The 11465-nt window shown below is 48.9% G+C and overlaps 1 protein-coding gene across 11 annotated transcripts in view; it reads left to right on the forward strand.

Moving 5' to 3' along the window:
- The window catches only part of MAMLD1 (mastermind like domain containing 1), a 152602-nt gene that overhangs the window by 107963 nt on the left and 33174 nt on the right, over positions 1–11465 (forward strand). For 8 of the 11 annotated variants that reach the window (XM_047441709.1, XM_024452317.2, NM_001400513.1 and 5 more), the window contains one exon: positions 211–1956. In XM_047441709.1, coding sequence (XP_047297665.1) covers positions 211–1956 — 1746 coding nt within the window. Of the gene's footprint in view, positions 1–210; positions 1957–4145; positions 4269–11465 lie in introns of all 11 variants that reach the window. The other 3 variants (NM_001400515.1, NM_001177466.3, NM_005491.5) reach the window with 1 other exon arrangement.

The following is an 11465-nucleotide window of genomic DNA, read 5'->3' on the forward strand; positions in this document are numbered from 1 at the left end:
ACTGAGAGGTCTGTTTTATCATGCACATTTCCTGTTCATTAGCTTTAATGTGCCAAACCTTTATAAAAATTCCTCTCTCTCTCTCTCTCTCTTTCTCTCTGTCTCTCTCTCTCTCTCTCTCTGTGTGTGTGTGTGTGTGTGTGTGTGTGTGTCACCTCTCTTCCCTTCTCCTCTCCTCTCTTCTCCTCTTCTCTTCTCTTCCATTCACAGGGAACTGTTAAGAGGAGACAAGAAGAAGACCACTTCCAGTTTCCAGACATGGCTGATGGGGGCTACCCTAATAAAATTAAGAGGCCTTGCCTTGAAGATGTCACCCTTGCAATGGGCCCAGGTGCTCATCCTAGTACTGCTTGTGCAGAACTGCAGGTCCCTCCATTGACAATAAATCCTAGCCCTGCGGCTATGGGAGTGGCTGGCCAGTCATTACTGCTGGAGAATAACCCTATGAATGGCAACATCATGGGCTCACCATTTGTAGTACCACAGACTACAGAAGTGGGACTGAAAGGGCCCACTGTTCCTTACTATGAGAAAATCAACAGCGTGCCGGCTGTAGACCAGGAGCTTCAAGAGCTGCTAGAGGAGCTCACCAAAATTCAAGACCCTTCTCCAAATGAGCTAGATCTTGAGAAGATACTGGGGACGAAGCCAGAAGAGCCACTGGTTTTAGATCATCCCCAGGCAACCCTAAGCACAACTCCCAAGCCTTCGGTTCAGATGTCACACTTGGAGAGCCTGGCTTCCAGCAAGGAGTTTGCTTCTAGTTGCAGCCAAGTTACTGGCATGTCACTTCAGATCCCATCCTCCTCCACAGGGATCAGCTATTCGATTCCTTCCACCAGTAAGCAGATAGTGTCACCGAGTTCTTCAATGGCACAGTCCAAGAGCCAGGTCCAGGCCATGCTCCCTGTCGCTCTGCCCCCCTTACCAGTGCCTCAGTGGCATCACGCCCACCAGCTGAAGGCGTTGGCAGCCAGCAAGCAGGGGTCTGCTACAAAGCAGCAAGGGCCCACCCCCAGTTGGTCTGGTCTGCCTCCTCCAGGACTCTCTCCACCTTACCGCCCAGTGCCATCACCACACCCACCACCGCTGCCACTGCCACCACCACCACCCCCATTCAGCCCCCAGAGCCTCATGGTGTCCTGCATGTCGTCCAATACCTTGTCGGGTAGCACTCTCCGAGGCTCTCCCAATGCCTTACTGTCAAGCATGACGTCCAGCAGCAATGCTGCCCTGGGGCCCGCCATGCCCTATGCTCCTGAGAAGCTCCCCAGCCCTGCTCTCACTCAACAGCCGCAGTTCGGCCCTCAGAGCTCCATTCTTGCCAACCTCATGTCCTCTACCATCAAAACCCCTCAAGGACACCTGATGTCTGCTCTGCCTGCCAGCAACCCTGGGCCGTCCCCACCCTATCGCCCAGAGAAGCTCTCTAGCCCAGGCTTGCCACAGCAGTCCTTCACCCCACAGTGTTCCCTGATCCGAAGCCTCACTCCCACCAGTAATCTTCTAAGCCAGCAACAGCAGCAGCAGCAGCAGCAGCAGCAAGCAAATGTGATCTTTAAGCCCATAAGCAGCAACTCATCCAAAACCCTGAGCATGATCATGCAGCAGGGGATGGCAAGCTCCAGCCCAGGAGCCACGGAGCCATTTACTTTTGGCAACACCAAGCCCTTGTCCCATTTTGTTTCTGAGCCGGGTCCCCAGAAGATGCCCTCCATGCCTACCACCTCTAGGCAGCCTTCCCTGCTCCACTACCTGCAGCAGCCGACACCAACGCAGGCCTCCTCAGCCACTGCCTCCTCCACGGCCACTGCCACCTTGCAGCTGCAGCAGCAGCAGCAGCAACAGCAGCAGCAGCCTGACCATTCTTCATTCCTTCTGCAGCAGATGATGCAGCAACCCCAGCGTTTTCAGCGATCAGTGGCCTCAGATTCCATGCCTGCTCTGCCCAGACAGGTAAGACAATCTCATATCTGGCTGTGTTCTTTTGTTTTGGAAGTAACAACTGTGTTTCATGTTGCCAATATCTGGCTCTGGAGGGTAAATCCAGGCTATAGTTCTCTCTGAGACTGGAAAAGACTCTGAAAAAGTCTACTGAAGTCAGCTAATCCTGTGTGGTTAAAAGCACAGTGTTAATAAGGCCAAGGTTATGGTTTCAGTGCCTGTTCAAGTCACCTAACTTCCCTAGAAGGAGAGCTGCACCCACAAGGTGCTCCCGGTGGAAGGAGCCAGGTGGGACAAGTCCGAATACAGAAATGCCTTCCCTGCACTGGGCCATGTAGAAAGACTAGTGAATCCTTCTTAAGATGTAAGGAAATTGCACTGAAGCATTTAATCTTATCCCTGCTGGCAGAAGGACAAACACTGAGCCTTCTAGAAATGCCACAGCAAACTTTTGCTGAGCAACCTCAGCATGCCATTTGTCACTGTGCTGGATACTCAGTCAGGTCGTGAAAGGAAAAAGACAGGTATTTGCAAGGTAGTCACTCTCATCATCTCCATTTTACAAATGAAGAAACTGAGGCTCAGAGAGTTGAAAGACTTGCCCAGAGTCACATAGTTCGCAAGGGACAGAGCAGGAACTTGAAGCCAGGTGGTCTCACTCCAGAGCCTGTGCTCTTCTTGAAATTACTTTTGACTTCTCACCCTCCCTCATCTCCTCCAGGCTTTTCAATCATGAAATGCAGCTGATTCCACCTGGGTCGTGTCTATCACAGTTCCCAGTTTTCATTTCTGTGACCCCTGCCTGTATTAGTTATCTGTGGCTGCATAACAAATTACCCCAAGCACCAGCTTCGAACCATATGCATACGTTACCACCACATCCTGATTTCTGGGTGTTAGGAATCCTGGCATGGTTTAACTGAGTCTTCTGGCTGAGTATCTCCTAAGGCTGCAGTCATCTCAAGGCTCAGTGGGGAAGGATCTGCTTCCAAGCCCACTCATGTGGTTGCTGGCAGGAAGCAGTTCCTTGCAGGTTGTTGGACTGAGGCCTCGGTTTCTCATGAGCTATTGGCCAGAGGCCTCCCTCAGTTCCTTGCCACACGGTCTCTTCACAGAGCATCTCACAACATGGCAGCTGGCTTCATCTGAGTGAGCATGAGAGAGTGTGCCAGTGAAGCAGGGTAATGGGGAGAGAGGGAGGAGGGATAGTGCCAGCAAGTCAGAAGTCACAGTCTCTATGACCTGGTCTAGAAAGTAACATCCCACCACTTTTGCTGTATTCTATTCATGAGATGTAAGCCAGAGGAGATTGCATGAGGGTGTAAATACCAGGAGGCAGGGTTCAGTGGGGCCAGGTCACACATGTGCCTACACAGAATACTCAGTCACCATCTACCATCCCTCCTTCCCATTCCTCTCATCCTTGCCCAAGTTCAGGTCCTCTTGATTCTTTATCTGAACTCATACAGTTGACCCTTAACTGGTCTCTCCCAATAAACCATCCATTGCTCTGAGTCGTCTTGCTAAAACAGTGACCTGATCATGTTTTACACTTGCTCAGAAGTCCCCAGAGGCCCATAAGCTGGCCCCACCAGCCTCCTGGGCCCTTCAGCATCCATCAGGCCCTGCCTTGCACTTTGTTTCTATTACCCAGAAGTGCCTGCAGCACTTGGCCCACGCCATCTGGTCTCAGCCTTTACTCTGGCCGTTCCCTGGGCCTGGTCATCCCTTCCCACATTTTCTCTCCTGTCCAACACCTGCAGCTACTTAGGGCTCAGGCACCATCCCTCCAGGAAGCTTTTCCATGACTGTCCTCAGTACTTCCATTTCCCACTGTGCCTCCCTCTTCTGGAGAGTGGTCAAGGAGGAGATTATAAAGTGCTTGGCCAGAGACCTGGCCCAAGGGAAGCACCTGTCAAGGGCTGACCTCTTATTTAAGAGCTCTGTATGAGCACACCTGTGGCAACCCCTAGAGTACAGAGGTTGTGTCTTTTCCATCCAGGTTTCCTGGAGCATAACCATGCAGAGTGCTTGACACCAGGGAGTTGGTCGTTTGATAGACCATGCGGCAAGCAGAGCTCCCATGGGGGTGGCCGGGGGAGCGGTGTGGAGATAGGCAAAGCACATAGGACACGGCAGGCCACCTGGGGCTCGGGCCCTGGTCTGCAGTTCAGGAGCACTTTGGTTTGATTTTATTATAGGGCTGTTGCCATCTGTTTGCATGGACTTCTGCAGCTAGCTCGGTGAAGCCCCAGCATCAACACGGGAACTCTTTCACTAGCAGGCAAGATCCTCAGCCTGGAGACGTGTCACCGTCTAACATTGTGAGCCTTTCTGTTTTGTTTTGTCTTCAATTGGGTACATTTTTGTAGACTGATTGTGTTGTCCCAGAGCTGGATCAGCTGGCTCAGAGGGAGAATTCTTAATTATTGGGGTCATGCAAATCATACCCAACCAATTACCTAGGTGGGGTTGGAGAAAGTGTTCAGGAGAAAGACCGAACAGTCAAGCTCCCTGGGGCTAGGAGCACAATAAAGGGGGCAAGCGACTTTTGCCAGCAGAGGCAAGAAGCTGGGTCCCCAAATTGGAAATGCTATTGCCACCAAGAGCTGCCTTTCCAGCCCATGCTGGCCTGTGCCCAGGGGCCAGGCATGGGACCTGGTGCTTCACCTGCCTCTTCTCATTTTAATCCTCAGAGGCAGGGGCTGTTACCATTCTCCTGAGAGTTGGGGGGAAAGGCACAGAGAAGTGACCGAAGTTGCCCACAGTCACACAGCAAGCTGGGGCCAGAGCAGACAATCTGGCTACAGAGCCCACACTCATACTCCCATGCATGGGGCACTGCCTCTGTAGCCTTCTGTTTCCACTGTCACCTCTTAACTGTTTCCTCCTCTACAAATCAAGGTGATGATAGGTTGTCTGAGGACTAAGTGTGTTAATACATCTAAAGCACTTTGAACAGGGCCTGGCATAAAGTATGTGCTGACAAGGGATTTGCTGTCACGATGACTCTACCTCCTGACCCTGTGCTCCCAGATCTGTTTCATGGGACTAAGATGTGGTTCTAAAAACCAGTAGCTGTGGCAGGACAGACACAAGCCACGCTATCTCCAGACCCTGTACCCACCATGAGATTGATAGGAGTTGTGCAGCCTCTGAGCCTTGTGGGCTCCTTTTGCTCTAGGCCCTGCCTCTCCTGGACAACTCCCAGCCTGATGGGAAAGGGGAAAGGGGAAAGGTCCATCCCTGCTTTGCAGACTGGGGATCTCACTTTGCTCTTTCTTGAGCTCTCCGGCACTCTCACTCCGCTCCTCTCCCTAGCACTCTGTTCTCTACCTGGTATTCTTCCAGGCCTCCAAGCTGGGGGAATCTCAACAGTCCTTCTGTTTCTTCTTATGGCCTCTCCCTATTAACTCTAAGACCTAAGAACTCAGCCCTGGTCATTCTTCCAGGGGAGAGAAAAAAATAAAGAAAAAAGCGAGTGTTTGAGGCAAGAGCTGGGACCGCTGTAGAAGGACAGATGGTGGCCCCAATGGTGGGGAAGAACATATTTCCCACTTCCAGCAGGCTAAGCAAACCTCCCAAGTTTTACTGATGGCCAAGCTGAGCCTCAGGAACACTAATTACCTATGATATGGCATTTACTAGCCTGTTACATTTGCCGTGGACGATAATGGTTACCATGGAAAAACTGGACATTCATTTGAATCTGGATCTTTGAGGTTTTGTGCGGGGGGTGGGGGCTTTTTTGGTTTTTGTCTGTTCATTTCTTTAGAGGCAGGGTCTCACTATATTGCCCAGTCTGGTCTCAAACTCCTGGGCTCAAGTGATCCTCCCACCTCAGCCTCCCAAAGCACTGAGATTACAGGCAGGAACCACCGCACCTGGTCTAGATCTTAGTTTTCTAAAGGAGTTATTTTTAAATGTGAGATGAGACACAAACGCTTGAGTAAGCTGAAAAGCCAAATCCAGCCTTCTATAGAGGAGCTCATTTTTATGTACAGACCAGCATCTCTCTATTTGGAGGATTTTGCTTTACCAGTTGAGTGAACTATTCAATTTCAATGCACCATTCATGTCCACGTAAGGTAAAAGGCAAATGCCACATGACTTTGGGGCAGCTGTTTAGCATGGGAGGTTGAGCAAGCAAGGGCACTGGAGGCAGACAGAACTGAGGCTCAAGTCTGGCTACAGATGCTGACTGATTCAGGTCCCATGAGCAATGTTACTCAACTCCTGAGCCTCAGCTGAAAATGGGGAAAGGAATAGTCCCCTTCACATAGGGCATTGGGAAGGCAAAGGAGATGCTAACCTGAAACTGCTTAGAACGGTGCCCAGCACACACTACAGGCTCAATCAGGGCTAGGGCAGCCTTGTGGGCTTGGACCTGAAACCTCCGGGGCCTGATGAATTTCCAAATTCAGAACATTTGGGACTTTGGGAAGGTAATGTGGTGCAAATACCAAATGTCACACAACCCTCCAGTGTAATCTGAAGCAGTGTTTCATTACTTTTGCAGAGAAATATGAATATTTAAGGAAGTCCAGAGTCAACTTTTGCCCCCACATAAAATTTGGCACCAAATTTACAAAAGTAAAATTGGCTTTCAGAGCTTCTTGGACTTTAAATTACAGATAAGGGATGTGGACCTGGAATTATTAAGGGAGGGATCTTTAACTCTTTATGGAGTTGCAACACCCAGCACTGGTTTGTCAGATTTTAATGACCCCAAATTGCGTCACTGAATTCCCCACCCTCCCTCCAGGCTGGGTGATATATCTTGATGTTTAATCAGACTGAGGCAAAATGAATTTTGTTTGCATCATCTGATGTCCCTTCTCCCTGCAGATTACTGGAGATACCTTGGCGTGTTGCAAAAATCGCGGTTAGGACTTACTTCAGTTTCACTATTCACGACTGCAGAACAGATCTTACATTTACTCAAAGACACAAACAAGTATGTCAAGGAGATGGGAGTTGGACTGTGGAAGACTGGGGATAGCAAGAGGCAGCCTCTGGCCAGAGTGCCCTCAGTGCACGTGCATTTGAGCCCCACTCAGATCTGCAGAGCTGGGAGTGTGGTTTCATGGGGAGGAGGGATGTGGATGGAGGCCAGTTGGAATAAGAACAAAAAAAAGCCTGGAATCTGATCCTTGAGGCAGGCTGTGCAGCACAGAGGGAAGAGGGCAGCTGTGGAGAAATAGACCAAGGAGGCACATGATGTTGTTTTGACAAATATGGAGAGGGTAGAGAAGGGGGAATCAAACCTGCCTTGGAGAAGGCTGGATTAAGCCCCTACTGGGTCTGATATGCTTTCTATCTTAAGGATAAGCTTTAGCTTAGGCAGTCGTGAGCACCAGGCAATTGCAGAGGCAGTGAACTCACCATCTTCCCTTTCTGAGGGGTTGGGCCTATGAAGAGGATCTGGGCAGCTCCCTCTAAAGTGGGGCCTTGGGGAAGCCCCCACTATCCCCACCTGTGGCCTCTCTCACCCCTGGTAGACTGAACCCTCCGAAGTGCAGTACTTCCAGCACCCAGGGCCTGAAGATAGATGGCACAGGGCGGGGGACACAGGGGCCTTACCCTGGGGCCTTGGCAGGGGACAGGCCCTGGGGCTGGGCTCAAGGCCAAGTTCAAGAAAGCTCAGACTTTGGATCACTTGGGTCCAAATCCCAGTTCTGCCACCTTTTCCGCGGGGCAAGCGATTTACCCTCTCCAGGCTTCAGTCTGTAAAATGGAGATTAGCATACCTTTCTCATGGGGCTGCTGTGAGGATTAAATGAGATGAGGTAACAGCGCTTGGCATAGGGCCTGGTACACAATTATGCTCCATTGATATTAGCTGTCACTCTCAGGAAAGTTCCCGAAACCCAGAACACCAGTAACCCAATGGAATGAATTTAGTCAGCCTCGGCTCAGCATCCAGGCTCCTCTCTGACCCCCAGGGGTGGACGGTGACTTGGAGAGAAAGGGCAGGGGAGAGCTCAGTCCCTCTGGGGCTGCGTGCTCACGGACAGTCCCTTAGGGGCGTTAAGGAAGACTTTTGCCAGGTGGCTGAGGAGCAGCCAAGGCAGCAGACACAGGTTGGTGACTCCAGAAGGAAGTAGAGCCGCCAAGCCAGGCTGTGGTTTCCTGAGTGCCCCTGACCGTGGGTAGGGGAGAATGTTGTCTTCTCTTCCCTCTAAGCACGGCCAGCTGAACTTCTAGGAGTTACGTGGATGCTGAATAACAAATGCAACCACAGGACGACTTTAGGTGGGCAGAGAGGAGGGGGAAGGAGGAGCTAAGTTCCACCTGCAGCCAGCGTGGATCTGACCCCACCTGCTTGCAGCAGGCTCAGGGGTGCCTGACATTTCAAGACTCAGGCAGAGGGCTTACTGATACACAGTGACAATGAACAGGGCGGAAAGCGTGTACATGAGTGGCCAGGAAGGAAAGCTGGTCCTGCATAGTCATGGCGCACAGAGCACGCATCCTGAGGGGATACCTCCCCTCTCTCCTCTCGTTTCCGTCCTTCTTCTGCACCACTGACTCTCACTCCTAAAGCCTCCAAAAAGAATCTTTGCAGAAACCCAAGATTCCTTTTGGTTTGAACTTCCAAGGCTACACTAGCCCACTCAGTAGGGCATAACCTTTAATTACTGCTGTCTCAATTAGCTCTGCAAATTAAATTCTTTATATTTGAACCATGACTTTTCATGGAAAACAAAAAGGAACAAACCAGGTTAGTGAGGCCAAGAGAATTTCCGATTCTGATCAAAGTTACATCTGCTCCATTTACAACTAGAGTCAGGAGAGGCAGAGACAGCAAGTGAGCCTTTTCCTAGTCTCAGAATCACTCATTAACATTTTCAAAAAGTAATTATTATATTACTAAAATACATGACCTCCACCCCAAAATCAGATCCACCACATATTTTCAAGGAAGGGCCTGTCACCTTGGACTTACAGGTCTTCTCCCTCACTTCCCTGCATTCCTCTCTCGTTTTGAGAGTAAGGCTTGCGGGAGAGCAATACTGCTGTCTGTGTTCTCAGAGAAATTTTGTCTTTTACTAATTCTGGCGAGAAACATCACAGATTTTATTTCAAAGGTTAGTCCTGCTAAAATGCAAGAACAGAAGCCTCTAGAGGAATCTCTGTGTTGTCCACCAGTCAAATGATAAGTAAGGAAGTGCCTCCACTTGCCAGATAAAGGACTGGGGACCAGGCAGATTTCAAAGAGCCCGTGGGTCAGAGCCGGGGCCTGCCCTGTGCGTATTCTCTGGCAGACAAGGAAATGTTTTCCTGAATGAGCATTCTTATTTTGTATTTAAACATGATGGTACATACAAGCTTAGTTTTACCATTCTTTCTAAATTAAGCTGCAAAGAGCTGTTTGGTTTCGGGAAACTTTTTCTTAGCTGTTTTGTGTGGAACTATGATTAGACACCGTGTAACATGCATTTTGAAAATTCGGGGACCGATATCTCAGTGTTGAAAATGTTTTGTTTTAACCTCTCTAAATTGCCAGGAAATGAAACCACATGGGCTGTTGAATTTGGGAAACACAGGCTTAGAACTTGGTATTAATCTTACCAAGAATCAAAAAAAAGTTTTTTTTTCAGTTTCTTTTTCGGTTTCTAAGGGCCATTAGTGATCCTCCACCTCAAAGCTATTTTTCTTTTTCAAAAAGCGGAAATTTAAAATGAGCTGCTTGTTAAATGCTAACCTTTTAAATGTCAACATTTTTTTTCTATTAAAAGTTAAAGAATAAGTGAGACGACACTTTCAAATGAAGGTGACTTTACATTGTTCCCCTGGAGGAATGAGCCATCAGTTAGTGTGGTCAACCCCAAAACTTACGGGGATGCACAAGGCCGCCTACTTAAGATGCATCAGTAGTAGAGATCAATAGATACAATTTTTTTCATTGCTTAGTAACTGGCTTATGAAAGCTGAAGAGGCAATCATTTTCAGAAACCTCCTGTCAAGTTTTTTGTTTTGTTTTTTGTTTGTTTTGTCTTAACATATCTGAAGAGAAACAAGGAAACTTGCTGAAGTTAGGACACCCAAAATGAGCCCTTTTAAAAATGAAGTGCACAAATTATTTTATGCTAAGTTAATTAAGACAACCTACTTATTTGTCACTGTAAAGCAAGGCAAGGAATCTCATTGCGCTTTTCAAAGAACGTAAGAGGACAGAAATAAATCATTGTGTCGTGCTGCTTTAAGCTGTATCTCCTTATGAATACCTACAAACCCAAAACACAGAACACCATATGGAGCGAGCAGTCCAGTTTTGCGCACACAACAAACATGAAAGAGAAGTGCTGTCGCTCTACTACTACTATGTCCCCAGGTGAAAAGTTCGCAAAATGTAAACAAGATCTAGAGCAGATGAAACTCACGGTAGACTTGCTCCATTCAGCTGTGGCCCTAACACCTACAGCCAGCACTGTCACTGAGTGCAGGAGTGGATGGTGCAGAGCGCCAAGGGGAATCAAAGACGTGACCCTTCCATCCAGGTGAGCAAAGGATGAGTACTCAGAGGGCTGGACTGCACCCTCCCCTCCCCATCCTGTGCTTCTGACTCTCAGATCCACTTCTGACTCTCACTTCCAGCTTCTGACTCTCAGATCCACTCATGGTCCCATATCGTGGATTTATGGAATCCTTTCCCGAGTCTATTTGTACTTTTAGCCTGTTCTGTCCCTTAGGGATTGACAAATCCCACGATCTGGGCCTGCCCTGTAAAACAACTATGTGGGGCCTGACCTGGCTGCTTTTTAGCTTGAAGGGGATAGCAGAGGGTAGAATGCTGGTTACATTTAAAGCACCCTGCTCCCAGATCCAAAAGAAAGTTTCTGCTTTTTCCTAAGGAGTTGAAACAGTCTGGGATTTTATCTGATTTTGTTATTTTGCCTACAATGACAAACACTGCTTTTGTTTGTTTTATCATGTTGTGTTTTTTGCTAGATGAGTGTTTATCATGCCGGCTGCACCCATCCAAAGCAGTAAGGTTGTTGAAAGCCAAAAGCAGCAGAAAGGCCCAAAGAGATCACCCCACCTCACCCACAGGCTCACCTCTGCAGGTGTCTTCAGACAGCTGACTCTTAACTCTCATCTCAGCAACAGTTTCTAAGATAGAGAGTGGAATAAAGAGTCAGCATTCATCCATTTCTTCGATGTTTTCTCCTTTACCCCATGTGAACCAAGTTTCTTGGTAACGTGCAGCTAGGACTCACACAGACGAAAAGCACAGAGCCACAGGCCTTGGCTGGGTTATTGGAGCTAGGTGCACAGGAAAAATAAAAGTGGGTGCTCCAGGACATTATATATATAGTCCTGGGCTAAAGGTGGCCTTCAGGGCCTGAAAGATGGATAGCTGTACCTCACTAGGAATTATCCCACCTCTTGCTTTGCTTGTGGGAGCTTTCAGTTTGCAGCTAAAGGCTCAGGTTCCGGCCAGCTTTTTCCCCTGTAGCATGCTACCAAATCCGGCCATCTTCCAGTTTTGAGCAGAGGAGGTGAGCGTAGCTGTG

The sequence above is a fragment of the Homo sapiens genome, chromosome X (assembly GCF_000001405.40).
Source record: "Homo sapiens chromosome X, GRCh38.p14 Primary Assembly".
NCBI lineage: Eukaryota > Metazoa > Chordata > Mammalia > Primates > Hominidae > Homo > Homo sapiens.